Consider the following 17,746-nt stretch of genomic DNA (forward strand, 5'->3'; position numbering starts at 1 on the left):
AGACAACGTGTAGAGGAAATGTCCAGTTGCTTCCTTTTGCAGAGGGTCACTGCAGCCGCGTGAACTCCTGCCTCTGAACTCATCACACAACGTCCCTCCTCACTGCAGCCGCGTGAACTCCTGCCTCTAAACTGGTCACACAACGTCCCTCCTTAGCCCAGCGGCTGCATTGTCACTTTTCGGTAGGAGAGTGGAAATCAGGTCAACCTTCCCATTAGGCCAGCCTGTCAAAAGAGAACACTTTATTGTTTCAAGGTAGTTCAAAGGTGGATGGAAAAAAATCCCTGGAAAAACAGACAGGCGTGCATTGCAGCTCTGCACAGTACAAAGGTGGACACTCGGTGCTTCTGCCTCAGGCTTGGTTCCTGGGTCAATTTCTTCCTCTCCCACATGGAGGGTCCTCATTGGGTGCAAACACCAGCTAAACGGAGCCAGGAAAATATCACCCACAAAGGGAGTGGGCGGCCTTGCCCATCATCCGGTGGAATGGCTTCCTTGGAGGAGGCATGTTTTCTATGTCTGCATGAGGAGTGTTTTAATTTCTTCCCGTTGCTAGCAGGACAGCGTCATCCATGTGGCTAGGGGTGGGCTTTGGGCTTTTCTTTTTTCTTTTCTTTTTTTTTTTTTTTTTTCCGATACAGGGTCTCACTCCAGTTGCCCAGGCTGGAGTGCAGCGGCACCATCTCACCTCACTGTAGCCTCAAACTCCCGGCCTCAGGTGATTCTCCCAGCTCAGCCTCTCGAGTAGCTGGGAATACAGGAGCATGCCACCACAGCCGGCTAATTTTTTGTGTTTTTAGTAGAGACAGAGAGGCAGTTTGCTATGTTGCCCAGACTGATCTCAAACTCCTGGGCTCAAGTGACCCGCTTGCCTAGGCCTCCCAAATTGCTAGGATTACAGGCATAAGCCACCACACCTGGCCCTAGAGGTAGGCTTTCCAACTTTCTGGTGAATACCATCATTTAACGTTCACCTGCCATGTGTCAGGTAAGAAGTGACACTGGGGACTCAGCCTTGACTGTCTCATGCAGGAGGATCGGGGAACTCTTTCTGAGGAAGGTGGTGCTTTGGCTGATGCATTCCACACTTTTCTGGTTTTATTCTCTTGATGGCAAACGCTCACAAAATAGAGATGAGCAAAAGCACCATAAGAATCTCTCAAAATTATGGTGACCAAGTAATTTATTAGCCAAATTGGGACACTTTGGAAGTGACAGAAGACACTGTGATTAATTGATTAATTACACCAGGAAAAACCCGGCAGGAAGCAGTGCTATTTGGAGCCAAATGGGCCATCTGGGAGCTCTGCTCCTAACTCCGCTCCCAGCGGCAACCACCACCAACGTCTGGAGCACATTCTTCTGGCCCTTTTTCTACGAAGAAGTACAGACAATGTTTTCCATGAAGACGGGATCTTGCTCTGCATTCTAATTTGAAGGTGACCATGGACTTCATGGTCCTAAGTGGGAGTGTGAAGAGTGAGAGGGGAAGAGTCAGATACTCCTGCTGGGACAACAGGATGTAAGGCCACCGTCGCTATTTTGAATCCTGTCTTTTTTCCACTTGAAACATCATAGCATCTTTCTATTTTACTAAGTGTTTTCTTTTCCCATAAAAACATTTCTGATAGCTGCCTAGTATTCCAGCATGCAAGCGTGCCATCTCCTCAGCTGAACATGTTGATGGTCTCCCATTATTCTGCTGTCAAAACAGTGCTGGGGTGATCATCCTTTGAGCCAGTGCCTGATGCAAATCCATGATTATTTCTCCAGGACAAATGCTTAGTTTTTAAAATGTAAATTTTAAGATTAAATTGCTAGGCAGAAAGGTATGGGCTCCTTTTAAATACTTCAGCCCTGCTTTACCCAACCATCCCTTGTGAAAATTAATCCCCCCACCCCGACTGCTGGGTGTAAAGGGACAATGATGGGATGATTGTGTTTTAGATTCTTGGACTATTTGGTAAGTGAAAAGCGGCCGTGTTGAGCATGGAGGGTGAGTGGGAACTGTCAGAAGAAGCAGGGAGGTGGGGTATTCCAAGTAGGTGGAAAGACTCACCCAAGGCGAGGGGTAATGGAAAACTGCCCAGTTTGGAGGTTCTGTTTATCATCAATGTTTTGCATTTTAGAAAACTAGACCACCTTCATTTCTGGGCCCATAAATAGATTGAGAACAAATACAGATTATAAATATATTAACTCATCCCACTTTGACCCTCTTTTCCAAAATAAACATAACTATTAACAATAATGGCTCTAACACCTTCCTGTCTGCAGCCGTGGAAATAGTAACTGCATGGCCATATCTCAAACACCCTTAAGCTAGTGACACGAGGTTTTTCTGTCTCCATTTCTACAGTTGGGGAAACTAAGGCCTAGAGGAAATTCCATACTCAGCCTGTAGTCAACTTTGGGTTTCCAGTTTCCCTTTGCTGGGTTGCTGTGATTTCTAATCACACCAGATTCCCAGGTTTCTGAATATGGTGATGATGGTGATGATGATGGTGGTGGTGGTGGTGATGATGGTGATGATGGTGGTGGTGATAATAATGATTGTGGTAATGATGATGATAAGGATGGTGGTGATGGTGGTGATGGTGATGATGGTGATGATAAGGATGGTGGTGATGATGGTGATGGTGGTGATGGTGATGATGGTGATGATGGTGATGATAAGGATGGTGGTGATGATGGTGATGGTGGTGATGGTGATGATAATGGTGGTGGCAATGGTGATGATGGTGATGATGACAATGGTGGTAATGACGATGGTGGTGGTGATGATGGTGATGATGGTGGTGGTGATGATGGTGACGGTGGTGATGGTGATGATAATGGTGGTGGCAATGGTGATGATGATGATGATGGTGATGGTGATGATGACAATGGTGGTAATGATGATGGTGGTGGTGATGATGACGGTGGTGGTGATGATGACAATGGTGGTGATGGTGATGATGGTGGTGGCGGTGATGCTGAAGATGACGGTGATGATCATGGTGGAGATGAAGGTGATGATAATGACAGTGGTGATGGTGATGACGATGGTGGTGGTGATGATGGTGATGATAATGGTGGTGGCAATGGTGATGATGGTGATGGTGATGATGACAATGGTGGTAATGATGATGGTGGTGGTGATGGTGGTGATGGTGATGATAATGGTGGTGGCGATGGTGATGATGATGATGATGGTGATGGTGACGATGACAATGGTGGTAATGATGATGGTGGTGGTGATGATGACAATGGTGGTGATGGTGATGATGGTGGTGGCAGTGATGCTGAAGATGATGGTGGTGATCATGGTGGAGATGAAGGTGATGATAATGACAGTGGTGATGGTGATGATGATGGTGGTGGTGATGATGGTGATGGTGGTGATGGTGATGATAATGGTGGTGGCAATGGTGATGATGGTGATGGTGATGATGACAATGGTGGTAACGATGATGGTGGTGATGATGACAATGGTCGTGATGGTGATGCTGGTGGTGGTGGTGATGGTGGTGATCATGGTGGAGATGAAGGTGATGATAATGACAGTGGTGACGGTGATGATGGTGGTGGTGATGATGGTGATGGTGGTGATGGTGATGATGGTGATGGTGATGATGACAATGGTGGTAACGATGATGGTGGTGGTGATGATGACAATGGTCGTGATGGTGATGCTGGTGGTGGCGGTGATGGTGGTGATCATGGTGGAGATGAAGGTGATGATAATGACAGTGGTGATGGTGATGATGGTGGTGATGGTGATGATGATCATGATGGTGATTGTGGTGATTACAGTGATTATGATGATGGTGATGATGAAGACAGCGATGACTAACAGTTATATGAAACTCACCACATGCTGGCCCTGATCTATGTCCTTTGTATAACAAGTCATTTCATTCTCATAATTACCCAGGGAGTGAGGAATTATCAGTATTCCTATTTTACTGATGACTAACTTGAGGCTTAAAGGGTGAAGCCCTTTGTTCAATCTCAAAAATGACATTTTAAAAACACTCGTTCTGGGAGTAGTGACATACAGAAATACTCATTCTGGGAGTAGTGAAAATAAGAAGTTTTGTTTCTTTGGATGCAGAAAATATTACTATAAAAACTTGTTTTTAGCTCATTTGGGAACTAAGGTCAGCAGGGTCTCCTTGCCTTTTCTTTTCTTTCTTCTTTTTTATATATTTATTTTTAAATATTTGAGTCTCCATTTCACTCACAGTCTGTGAAAAACATTTGTCCCTTTGGAGGTGTTTATTCACCCTGGAAACCTGGCTGCCATCCAAGCGCCATTTTCCAGCTCTCAGTGTAAACCAGGGATGCACGTGCTCAAAACAGAACACAGCGAGGTGGCGCTCATTTGTTGAAACCCCCTCGAACCCCACATTGTTTACTTCCTTGCTTTCACCTTGTTTATTGTACCAAAAAAACCCAGCACAACATAAAATGAAAACCAGGCAGAACAGGCGGAGTATGTTCAGGATTTTCCATAGGTGCTCAGCATTTTCTGATGACTTGGCAGAGGGAGGAGATGGATGAAGAAAGATCCGTCACAGCCGTGCCGCACCAGTAGAGTCGGCTCTGTGGAAGCCTGGAGGTGCTTTACAGCCGGGCGGGTCGTGTGACAGGCTCTCCCTGAAACTTCATGGGCCTTCAAGAAGGGCACTGTGCTAGCTGCTAAGAGTCAAATGGAGGAGAAGCCTGAAATTTGTGAACGTAAGGAACTTCAGTCTAGGGTGTGGGGTGGGCAGAGAAGTAAATAGGCAACTACAATGTCACATGGGACAGTCCGTGGTGGGGTACAGCTGAGACCGTTCCACTTTATATCCACTTTATTGACGATACACAAGGAGTTCATGCTTCCCTGCCTCTCTTGCAGGCAGCTGGGTGATTAGCTCTGGACAACAGACTGTGAGCAACAGTGACACGGGCCACTTTGGATCCTGGGCAGTTGAGGCAGGAATGAGTTCTCTCTACTCTTTGCTCCCTGCTGTGCCCAGGAGTGGTGCCTCCTTCAGTCTGAGTCCCTAACAATGGTGTGGAACAGGGACCTGGGCTTTCTGGAACATGCCATGTGAGTGAGAAGCAGATGTGGGTTGCATGAAGTCCCTAAGGTTTCAGGGTTTATTTCTGACTGCAGCCCAACCTCGCTGGTCCTGGCTGGTACAAGGGAGCAGTTGCACAGTGCTCTGGGCAAGAGGCAGATGGCAGGGTAGACGGGGCTCAGCAAAGGCTTCCCATGGACAGGAGAGGCAAACTGAGCCCTGATGGAGCTGGCCAGGTGACCAGCAGAGGAAGAGCATTCCAGACAGAGGGAACAGCACATGCAGGTGTTGGGGGAGGACTCTGCATGTCCAGGACTGGGCGGGAGCACCCAGAGCAGACGGAGCGGAGCACGCAGGTGCAGCCTACAGGGGAGGGAGTTGGAGCCCTGGGTTGCACCCTACAGGGGTGCTCTTTATCACAGTGACCAAGGAGAGTCGCTCAGGCATATGTATATATATTTTAAACCAATTCAGCAATTCTTTAATAGTCGTTGGGCAGTTAGCTTTATACAGATGCCTAGTGTCTTTGTCAGGCTTATAGAATGATATTTTCATTTACATTTGCCTGAGGTTGCCTTTTTTTTTCTTTCTTAACTTTTAGGTTCAGGGGTACAGGTTCAGGTGTGTTACATAGTTAAGTTGTGTGTCATGGGGGGTTGGTTGTACAGATTATTTTATTTAGTCACCCAGGCGATAAGCATAGTGCCAGATAGGTTGTTTTGTTTTGTTTTGTTTTTTGAGACATTCTCACTCTGTAGCCCAGTCTGGAGTGCAAAGGCGTGATCTCGGCTCACTGCAATCTCCCCATCCCAGGTTCAAGCAATTCTCCTGCCTCAGCCTCCCAAGTAGCTGGGATTAAAGGCGCCCCAGTATGCCCAACTAATTTTTTGTATTTTTATTAGAGATGGGGTTTCGCCATGTTGGCCAGGTTGGTCTCGAACTCCTGACCTCAGGTGATCCACCCCCATCGCCCTCCCAGAGTGCTGGGATGACAGGTGTGAGCCATCACACCCTGTCCCAGGTTTTTGATCCTTACCCTCCTCCCTCCCTCCACCCTCCAGGAGGCCCTGGTGTCAGTTGTCCCCTCTCTGTGTCCATGCGTACTCAATGTTTATCTCCCACTTGTGAGAACATGTAGTATTTGGTTTTCTGTTCCTGTGTTTGTTTGCTTAGGATAATGGCCTTCCAGCTCCATCCATGTTGCTGCAAAGGACATGATCTCATTCTTTTTTCTGGCTGTGTAGTATTCCATGGTATACATGTACCACATTTTCTTTATCCAATCTACTGGTGGGCATTCCGGTTAATTCCACGACTTTGCTATTGTGAATTCACTCGCATTTTCAGCAGGGAGATGATACGATCACATTGCATGATAAAGGGTTACGTTGGCTCCTGAGTGGCCTGGAGATTAGAAAGGAACAAGGCTGGAGACAGAGACCCCACTGAGTCTCCACTCATTGACACATGTATTCAACCAACGTGTATTGAAAACCTGCAGCACACCGGGCACTGTTCTGGCCCTGAGGAGGCAGCAGTGAGAAAAACGTAGAAGTCACGTGTGTAACACACATGGAGAGGAATGAGACTGGGCGGGGGGTTACGGGGCCAGGCTGTAGTTTGTGCCCTTTCCATGTGTGCATTTTATGTCAACACAATGTCTAAAACATTTCAAGAAATTCATGTTTCATGTTCCAAATAAAAGTCTGCACCCCAGGCTATTTCCCTGAGGAGGTGGATGCGATCGATAACTCCTCCTCAAAACCCAAGCACCGCCTTCCCACCCAACCCCCTGCAGGGGCTGGGAGGGCACAGAGGGCTCCAAGCTTGGGGGACAGAGGCGCATGGGCAGCAGCCCCCAGACAAGGATCACATAGACACAGGGGCGGCTTCCCATGGGGTATGCAAGAAATGTTCTCACATTTTCAATTGTCTTGTATTTATAATACTGTGTTTTAAGAAAAAGATCCCATAACCAACACAAATAATTGTACTGTTTAGAATAAAGTTGAGTAAAAAGACAAAGAAGAGGGTGTCATGTCAATTCAAAGTTGATTCCAAGAAAATATTCACCAAAATGGTAACCAAAGGCAGTCGCAGGACACCCAGACTGTGGGGGAGAGTGCCCAGGGAGGCGAAGCCGGCAACAGCCATGCAGGTAAAAGGCAGGACTTCCCAGTACCCTTTCCTCATCTGTGGAATTAGGAGAGCAAACTCTTCTCTAGTCACCAAGGTAACCGTATGCCATCAGCACGTCTGTGACTTTCTGTTGTCCAGACAAAGCCATTTTCAAAACTCACCCCACAGGGGCACTGGCACCTCTCAGATGGCAAGAAAAATACCAGGGAGGAAAAACAAAATCCGACGATTCAGGCTGCCCCGGGCAGTGGTTCTCTGGCAAGCAGACAAACGCAGGAGGCTTGAGTAACTGGCATCACAGTACCTGGTGCCCGAGGGAGGGTGGTGGCCGTAACAGAGCACTGCACCCTCACGGTCACCCGGGCCCTGAGACTGCCTTAGGAAGCCCTGATGGGCTGTGCGTGACGCTGGGCTGTACACTGTTCCCTTGCTTTGGCCCCAGCCTGGGCCCCATGCCCACGGATGGTACGGATGTCATCAACTTACAGTGTTTATTTTTGGCTTTTTCCATTGCACTTAGAGCCAGCTATCAAGCCAGACACATTTTGCTTTTTTTAACTTAGCCTGGCTTATGAGTCCAATGTTGAACCAGGATCTGAGGGGAGGGCGCGTATCTGCATTGACACAGAAGTCCCAATTGTGTCTCTTGGATGGCAAAATAAAAACAGTTTGCAAAAAACAGGGAAAGAACACAGGCAGAGCAGATGTGGCTCCCGCAGGGGAGGCTCTGGCGGTGGGCTGGCTGAGCCCGTGTCTGCATGAGATGGGATGACATCGGCACCACTGGCAGAGCCTGGACTAGCTGTCCTTCCTTCCCACCAATGTGCGTGACAGGCCGCTGAGCCTCCCGGTGTGCAGGAGCTGAGACTTGCAGCCTACTGAATGCACATGCTACTTCCTCACCAGCCCCAGACCTTGATGGACAGTCATTGCCTTGTTACTTTGATCAGCCACATTGCCGTATATTCATCCGACAAGGTCTGCTACACCCCTTCGGGGCAGGTACTGTGCTCAGTTCTGGGGACCTAACAGAGAACTTGATGGACTCACCCCTGTCCTCATGGAGCTTCCAGACTAGGGAAAAGAGAAGAAGATGTGAGCCACTGAAGGTCTCAGAGTGAGAATGGCCTTGTTGCGTCACTCAGCTCCTGGCTTCTTCCTACCTCTGTAACTCCCCCCATGGGGTCACGTTTCCAATCCTTAAATATGAAGGTTTCCTGGGGCTTGGTCCCTGGTCCTCTTCTTCCTCCTTGTACTATTTCAGGCCTACCCCACAGCTCCCAGACATTCACCTGGTGTCTGAGCTGATCATTTCCAGGTCCAGAGCTCAGGTCTCTGGCCTAACCTCCTAGCAGGCATCTCCACTGGCATCCATCCCACCCACACATCCACTGCCTGGTTCTGTGCACCCAATGCTGCAGACTTGCCCAGGTGGGTCCACTTCTTCCACCTGCAAATCCACAGCCACCCAGCCCAGGCTGTTAGCACCTCCGGCCTGGACCTCCCTGGAGCATTGTGTTGGCCTCCTTCCTGTCTTCTTGTTCCCCTGCCTTGTCCACCTGCACGTTACCCTTAGCCCAGTAATCACAGTGGCCCTTGTAAATCCTGAGTAGAAGAGGCCCTCCCTCTGCTGAGAACCCCGCCACAGCCCCTTGTCCCTCAGAGTCAACGCTAAAGTCTTTACAGGCTCCCAGGGCTCTCTGCTCTCCCCACTCCCCCTTTCCCTTTGAACTCCCTCATTTCCACTGCTCCCACTCACCATGTCACAGCCAGGCTCATCTCCTATTCCTCCATAAGCAACCTGCCTCAAGACCCTTGCTCTTTCTGCTCCCTCTCCTGGCATGCTCTTCCCCTGATATCTCTATGGCTCCCATCTTCCCTTCCATACGCTTTTACTTCTACAATGCCGCCCTCTCTGCAGCCTTCAGTGACTTCTCTATTTACAATGCAGACCCCACACCCATCCCCCCTACACCTATTTTCTCCCCATGTGTTCATGTCTGTGCACTTTACTTACTGATTTTATTGTCTGAGTCCTCCCTCCAGAACATAAGCCCCTGAGGGCAGGAGTCTGTGCAGTTTTGTCCCCTGCTGTGAATAGACACATTTAATCACCCATTCCACTGTGGTGTGCGTTTCAGTTGCTTTCAGCTGGGGTTCCTACGGGTAGTGCTGCTACGTGCACCCCAATCCTTAATTGCAGGAATGGATATCCTTCAAACTGACGGCTTAGACACAGGTTTACCGCAATGTGGGTGTGGTCTCAACCTCTCCTCCACCCGGGCAGGTCCTGCTCGCCCAGTTGCCATTTTTGTTAGCTAGCAGAAATGGCCATTCTTTCAAATGACATGGATTGCCAAAAATAATAACGCAGCCAATCTAAGGGGCAATTTTAAAATCCCCATGCCAACACTTCTCAATCCAAACTCAGGGTGATCCCCTTTGGATGGTGGAAAGGGGACTGCGCCCTTGAGGGCACTTTTCCCAGGCCACTGCCCCCCAGGTCCAGCCACTCGTAGTGGCCGCTGCCCACAGCTGGCAATGGTAATGGCATCTGGAGACAGGGCGGCCGACACCCTCTGACCTTTGTGTGAGGGTGAGGTGGGCGGAGGGGGTGAGGAAGGGACCAGGGCTGGCCCAGCTTCGGGACACCCGCGGCCCCTCCCTGGAAGGAGGGGCTTCCCAGAAGCCCTCCCAGGGAGAACCCATCACACGGAGGTCACGCTCCAGACCTCGGAGCAGCTTCTGCTGCTCTCCTTTGTTTAGTTTTATGTTTTATTTTTAATTTGAGCCACATTTTTCTAAAAATGGGAGATGTCGCCAACCATTTCAAACTTCTGGCTTCTCTTGAAATGCAGGAAGATATGGCCAACCCAGGCCAGCATTCGGCTGTGGCCACAATGGGCTGTAGCCGACTATTGGGCTCTCTACTGAAGCGGGGGTAAATTACAAACATGAAATTATTTTATGCTGGCATCATGACCTGTGTGCATGTGAATTCGCTTCTAGGTATTGAGAAGAGAGATGGGAAAGAAAGAGGAAGACAAAGAGAGCTAAGACAGAGAGACAGAGAGAGACACGGAGAGGGAAAGGAAGAGAGGGGGTGAGACAGAGAGAAGGTAAGGCAGAGAGGTAGAGGGGAAAATGATTCTAAAAGCCTGGGGGCTTTGCCCTCTGCTTCACCCAGTGGACTTAACGCCTGGAGATGAAACTGGAGATCCGTCCTTTCCCATGTCCCGCGGCCACCCAGAAAGCACAGCCTGCAGCCCTGAAGGCAAATGTGAGTTCCCGGTCAGTCTGCAGACGGATCCTTACTGTGCACTGTAAGGCTCTGTGGAAGCCGCTGCTTTTGCTTGTTCAACAGCAGAAGCAGCGTGATTTATAGATGATTTAACTGTTCTTTCGAGGATTATTTTTTCTATGCAGTTCTTAATTGGGGGCTTACGTGCTGACATTAGAACTTAATTCCCATTGAAGTGGCAACTCGGTTAAATGATATCAAATGTCTTTTTAGCTGAGCTGCATCCAACCCCCGGTCCTGACCCCTGGGGGGATGTCTCCTCCAGGTAGCACTGGCTGAAACCTGCAGTGTGCCCACCTCTCCCAAGAGTGGCATGAGCAGGGGCCACGCAGCTCCTTCCTCACAGGTTCCAGGACCCAGGCTGAGAGGAGCTGAGGGGCCCAACATCCCAAGGAGACCAGCGCCAGCCCAGCCAGCCTGTCCCCACCCAAGTCCCCAGGAGGCCAGGCCAGCTGCCCGCGGGGAGGAGGAAAGCCATGGCACTGCAGGGGGTGAGGTCAGCCTCCCACTGCACCTGTGGGGGGCCAGGCCTTCTCCCACAGTGGGCAGGGGAGCAGCAGGCCCCCCACGGCTGTCACTCACAGCCAAATGCGTCCAGCAAACAAAATATCACTCACTGTCCCCTGACAAGAACAAATAAACATCCAGGGGGAGGTAGGAATAAGAGCGGGGCTGACAGCTTTACCTTAAGGGCCCGTGTGGCTGCTCGGCAAACCCCAAAGTCCTGCAAGTGCTCCCAGCCCCTCGGGCTGGCACAGGCGTGCCCCAGACGCACCCGCATGTCCACAGACATGCACACCCACGTGTCCTCCACGCCCCGAACACACGGGGCGCAGGCGCAGTTTGGAACTGCGTAGAGGTGACGGCGGCGCAGGCGCAGTTTAGAACTGCGGAGAGGTGATGGCCGCGCAGGCGCAGTTTGGAACTGCGTAGAGGTGATGGCCGCACAACATGTGATGCATTCAGTGCCGCTGAGTTGTTCCCTTCTAAAATGGCTAATTTTCTGCTATGCGAATTTCATCTGAATTTTTAAAAGGCAGCAGCAACAATACACATGCACCCCATCCACGCAAACACCGCACATCTTCACAGATACACACACACGTGTGCACCACCTAACTTCCCAGCACCAGGGAGGAGGCTCCAGTTGTGGGGGGCCTGGTTTGGGGACCTAGACCCACCTGATTTCCCAGACCCACTCCCATCGAAAGCTCAGAGATGGGTGGGGGGATACTTTCATCTTAGATCCTCCCAACCACCTGTGGTGGGTTAAGGTCTCACCTGTGTGACAGCTGAGACAAGCCAGTTTGAGCAGAGACACTTGTATTTATTGTTCCGTCGTCAAGGTCCCCGGACCCCTGTCCTACCCTCTGCACAACCCTCTAGCAAGCCTTCGATCCCCTTCTCAGGACTCATTAAGCTGCTGCCTTCTCCATTTCAGTGCCCTGGTTAGCAAGGGACATTCGCTGGACTACACTGAAAGGAATAATTCCAATAGATCACAGACAGCGCAGCTTAACAGCGACATTGTTTAAATAGATAACTTATGATCCTGTGTTTTGAAATAGAAGCTTTCTAAGTCCCGGTGGGATTTAAAGACTGGATTGCTCAGGGGCAATGCTGTCAGCTGAAGCAGGCAGGAAGGAGCAACATGGAGAGATGATTCAGTCTTGGAGCCACACGGCCACCTCGCTGATCACGCACACCTGGTGGCATTTCTCTGCCTGTTGGTGCATTTTGCGGCTGACTGTTTGAAGACATAGGATGCGGCTGTGGCCAGCATCATACACCCACCTTCTCACAATGCAGCCCACAAAGAGAAGCAGAGCCTGTGCAGACCTGGGAAAGCCAGACCAAGGTTCTTCCTCAGGCTGTTGCACAGGTTTAAGCTCAGGGGTACCCCAGCATGTGGACATGGTACAGATAAGAACCGTGAATGGCACTAGTCCAGTCAAGGATGGCCTGGATGTTGATGATCGCCACGAAGCTACTGGACAACACGTCGCTCGTCTGCAAAGCCTGAGGCCAGTGTGGAAACCGAGGCATGGTCTCTGCTCTCCATTGAGGGCATCTGTGGGTCCACAGCTGGGCGCTGACCTCAGGACTGTCTGCTGCAGGCCATGGCTGTGCCCACCCAGGGGGTGCTGGGGCAGGTGGCCGGGTCCCATCTGCTGAGCCGAAAGGTTAGGCCAGCGCCTAATTAAAATGACTCACGGTGAACAGGAAAAAGCACTTGGGGGTGATATGGTTTGGTCGTGTCCCCACCCAAATCTCATCTCAAATTGTAATCCCCATAATCCCCACGTGTGGAGGGAAGGACCTGGTGGGACGTGATTGGATCACGGGGGCGGTTTCCCCCAGGCTGTTCTCGTGATAGTGAGTGAGTTCTCCTGAGATCCGATGGTTTAAAATCCTGTGATAGTGAGTTCTCATGAGATCTGATGGTTTAAAATCTTGTGATAGTGAGTGAGTTCTCATGAGATCCGATGGTTTAAAATCTTGTGATAGTGAGTTCTCATGAGATCCGATGGTTTAAAATCTTGTTATAGTGAGTTCTCATGAGATCCAATGGTTTAAAATCTCTGATAGTGAGTGAGTTCTCATGAGATCTGATGGTTTAAAAGTGCTTGGCAGTTTCCCCTGGGATTTTCTCTTTCCTGCCACCTTGTGAAGAAAGTCCTTGCTTCTTCTTTGCCTTCTGCCACGATTGTCAGTTTCCTGAGGCCTCCCCAGCCATGGAAACTGTGAGTCAATTAAACCTCTTTCCTTTATAAATTACCCAGTCTTGGGTAGTATCTTTATAGCAGTGTGAAAATGGACTAATACAGGGGTTTGCTTCTTCCTCCCTCCTTCCCTTCTCTCCTCCCCTCCCTCCCCCTTCCCCCTTTCTTCCCTCCCTGCCTTTCTATTTCTTTTATTCACTCAGTCAGCAAAGGAAACTCCAGTGAGCAGGAGTTCCCTTATGCTAAGGGCTGAGAGAAACTTAGAGATGAATAAAAGATGAGCTCTGGCTCTGCCCTCTGGGGGCTTACACAAGTATGTTTGGCGAGGACCCTATCTCCATGCCATCTCCTCGTCCCTCCCTCCCTCACTCATCTTGGTGCCAGGACCCAACCACCCAGCTGCCTGCAGAGCCGTACCAGGTGGGGCACAGCCAAGCCCAAATGCGGCTGCCCTGAGCCCTGAGTCCACGCCCTCAGCACCAGCCCGTGATCTAGCTCAGTCCCAAACTAGCTGGGCTGGAAAGAGGCCTCCAGGAACACTTTCAAGGGCTCCTTCCACATTTAGCAAATGGCTCTTTCAAGTCCAATGTTCTCGCTTGCTCAGCAGAATTCTGATTTTCTTGATTTATGCTGACAATCGCACATTCTTTTATTGCTGTTTAAGCCCCTGAAAGCATGGGAGGGGAAAACGTGATGAGAATCTGTGGCCCACTGTCTCCCTCCTCGTCTCCCTCACCCACTCTGCCCCTCTGGAAAGTGCTTCTCTCTGAGTTCTGGTCCCTGCTCGGCTGACCACGGAGGAGTGGGAGCTGGCACTGGCATCTGTGCATAGCCCGTATTGACACAGAAATGGCTGCATGGGAAGAAATTGGCCAGGCTTTCCAAAAACTGGGATGCAATTTCCCCCAACACGTTTTGGGGAACTTTGAACCCTGTCCCTGAGAAGATCTGGAGAGCAGGAGAGGTAGTCCAGGCCACACATGTCTGCTCCGGGCTTGGTTTTGGCCGGGAGTGGGGACAATCAAGGTCAGCTGGTGTCTGAGATTGAGGGAGCACTTCGGTGTGGCCTGGTGTGGCACTCAGGGCCTGCTACCCCTGAGTGTGTGGCCTCAGGCAAGTGGCTTGCCCTCTCTGGGCCTTAGATTTCCTGTTATAAAGTGAGAGATTTGGATAAGCTTGGGAGCTCAGAAACCACTTAGCCATAGACCCCTGCTCACCGAGTACCATCAGAAGCCCATCCTCACACATTGTCAGTGGGTGTCAGCATGGGTCTTCAGGAAGGAATGCCACGATGGAGTCAGGAATGTGAGCTATGTATTAGGGAGGTGGTGCTAGTGCACTGCAGAAAATGGAAGGGGAGCTGGAGGGCGCGGGCGAGCCTTCAGATTGCAATGCTGGTCCGACACCCGTGAGAGGAGAGGGGAAGGAAGGAGCATGCAGTAGCAAGAGCCTCAGCCTGCAGTGCATCTCAGAGGATGTCTCAGCCATGCTGACCGAGAGCCCCAGACTGAAGGTGCCCCATAGAGGATGCCCCTGCTAGGCAGAAATGGAGGGGCCCTGTGCTTCTGCCATGCTTGACCATTAGCTGCCCTGGAGACATGGGGCCTTGGCTGGAGAGCAGAGGTAGAGCCAGAGGGCACTGGAAGCTGGAGGCACCAGCCACCCTCACCCCACAGCAGGGTTTCTCCTGACATGAGGGACATCTGAGCCATGTACCCCATGGGCTCTTGCCACAAGAATGTCAAATCGGTCAACTTCTTTCAAAAGTGTTTGGACAGTATTTGCCAAAAACTTAAAAACAGAAGATTCTGCCAAATAAATTCCACTTCTAGGGATTTATCCAATGGATCAATTCATGCCTCTGTACAAAGAGATAAACATTTTGTTACACCCTTGTTTGTAGTAACAAAAGATTGGAAACAACCAAAATGCCCAGTATTAGAAGACAGATTAAATAAGTCATGGTATGTCCACATACTGGAATACCACGTCCCCACACTGGGGTACCATGTCCACACACTGGAGTACCATGTCCACACACTGGAGTACTACGTCCTATGCTGCCATGGTAAATAAAAAGGATGAGGCACCACCAAGCATACGGACAGGAATGAATTCCAGGTGAATTGCTGAGGAAAAGGGCAAAGCATTGGAGGCATCAATAGCAGGCTACCACTGAGTAAGGAAAGTGTGTCTTTTCTTTGCATCTGCTCAGATACAGAAAGAAAACATCAGAAGGACCCCTGAGACACTCACTCAGTGCTCTGGGGAGGGACTGGGAACTGGACTCCAGGGAAGAATTACTTTCCATTCATTGCCCTTCTGCTCCATTGACACTGCTGTTATGTTTAACACACCTGTAGCTTGTTTTTTAAAATCCTCATGCAGATGCTCAGCCTTTAAATCAACATCTGAATCTGATACCTTGGTGCCCCCTTATAGTAATTGTTGGTGCCCCCTCTTCATCCCCTGATGTGCCTCACAAAAGACCATTTACTGTGAATCCCTGTGGCTCTAACAGAATCAGCCCACTGCCAGTAGCAGACAGAGGATTTGATGTATAAATATCCCAGCTCCCTCACTCATTCACTGAGATAACTGAGGCCAGCTCTACGCTGACCCCCAGAGGTCCACAGTGGTACTGAACCCCAGGTGCCCGGGGCAGTGGCTGCCTATGAACTAAAGCTCTGCTGCTGTTCCCCTTCCCTGTCCTGCCTCCCCACTCCCTTGGGGGTTTCCTTGGGTCACCTCCCAAATAAACAGCTTGCCCATGACTCCTTGTCTCTGGGTATGCTTCTGAGGAGCCCAAACTAAGACCCAACAGAGGCCACCAAACTCCCAGGAATTCTGCGATAGCACAAAGCCCAGCCTGAAGAACACTGGGCTGGAAATTGATTTCCTCTAAGGCCTTTTCCAGTTCCGACCTCCCGTGCCACCAGGCAGATTGTCTCTTTTCTGGATAGTTTCTAACTAACACCAGGATTATGGTTAAGTGCAAAGAGAAGTGTATGAGACACAGATGAGTCTCTTACATAAAATAAATGAAGTAGAAGGACTTCCAGGGCCCAGCGGCCCCAAGTAAGCCTGTTCTCTGGAGAACTGGACGTAGAAAGGGGGGGTCCCCACATTATTGGAACCCTGAGCCCTGCAGGTGCTGCTTGGTCAGCAGCCAGGCTTAGGAGCGGGAGGCGGCAGAGTCCTATGCGTGTTGAAAAGTAAAGGTGCCAACAATATTCAGACCCATAGAAGATTCCTCCTCTCTGTTGTGGGGTAAATTATGTCCCCTCAAAAAGATATGATGGTATCCTGACTCTGGATCCTCAGAATGTGACCTAATTTGACAACAGTCTTTGCAGAGGTGATCAAGTTAAAATGAGATCAGCAGAGTGGCCCTATTTAATATGGGGCCCTTTTGACTTAATCGGATCAGCATCTTCCTAGCTGTGTGCTTAGGCAGAGGCAGGACTTGAAGAGATACACAGAAATAATCTCCACCCCGCTCTCCTTTCTACCTTACCCCATCCCTATCTCTCCCTTTCTGTTTCTCTTCCTCCCTACCACCCATTCCCACTCCCACCCCACCCCAATTGTATACCATGAGGATTTGAGGAGTAGAATTGCTGGAACCCTAAGACAAGAGTCTGGAACTATGGGACACCCAGCAGAGGCTGAGGAAGAAGCCCATGCCCTGGAAGGCAGAGTGAGGAGACTCAGCAATGATGTTTTGTGGCTTCTTAGAACCCCTGGATCAAGTCTTGCCTGAAGTCAGCACCTCCAAACTGTCCAGTTAGATAAGGTAATAATTTATTTTACTTCAGAAACCAATTCAGGGCTTGTTTTCTATCATCTGAAACTGAATGACTCCCAAGTGAAATAACATTCCGTCTTAGGAAAAAATGAAATAGCCAAACAGAGGGATCGTGGTCATGTTTGATGTTTTCTTCATCCCTAGAGGCCAGGTCTATAGGCACTTTTAAGACCACGTCAGAGAACGATGACTCTCTCCCCACCTCATGAGGGCTTCTTTGGTCAAGGTTAAGAAGGAATCTCATGGGGATGCAAGACGGTGCAGCTGCTGTGAATAACAGTCTAACGGTTCCTTAAACACTTCAACCTAGTTACCCTATGACCCAGCAATTCCACTGCAAGGAATATCCCCAAGAGAAATGAAAACATATGTCCACACAAACACTTAAACACAAATGTCCACAGTAGCATTATTCATAATAGCTAAAAGGTGAAAACAACCCAAATGTCCCTCAAGATAAATGGATACACATGATGTGATCTGTCCATATAATGGATTATTATTTGGCCATAAAAAGGAGGGAAACACTGGCATATGCTGCAACAGGGATGAGCCCGGAGGACGTGATGCTGAGCAACAGAGGCCAGTCACAAAGGACCCAATATTCTACGATCATATATAGAAAAGATTAGATGACAGTTCATATGCTTCCATTTCTATGAAATGTTCAGAAAAGACAAATCCGTAGAGACAGAAAGTAGACTCGTGGTTGACAGGGGCTGGA

At 49.7% G+C, this 17,746-nt stretch overlaps 2 annotated features.

The window, feature by feature from the left end:
* Positions 10,393–10,896: an enhancer, noted in NCBI's record as "H3K4me1 hESC enhancer chr16:86902487-86902990 (GRCh37/hg19 assembly coordinates)". NCBI's record gives its function as "activates a minimal SCP1, AML or CMV promoter by ChIP-STARR-seq in naive H9 embryonic stem cells {active_cell/tissue: H9 hESC(naive)}" and the evidence as "EXISTENCE:reporter gene assay evidence [ECO:0000049][PMID:30033119]".
* Positions 10,897–11,400: an enhancer, noted in NCBI's record as "H3K4me1 hESC enhancer chr16:86902991-86903494 (GRCh37/hg19 assembly coordinates)". NCBI's record gives its function as "activates a minimal SCP1, AML or CMV promoter by ChIP-STARR-seq in naive H9 embryonic stem cells {active_cell/tissue: H9 hESC(naive)}" and the evidence as "EXISTENCE:reporter gene assay evidence [ECO:0000049][PMID:30033119]".

Source organism: Homo sapiens, chromosome 16 (assembly GCF_000001405.40).
Source record: "Homo sapiens chromosome 16, GRCh38.p14 Primary Assembly".
Lineage (NCBI taxonomy): Eukaryota > Metazoa > Chordata > Mammalia > Primates > Hominidae > Homo > Homo sapiens.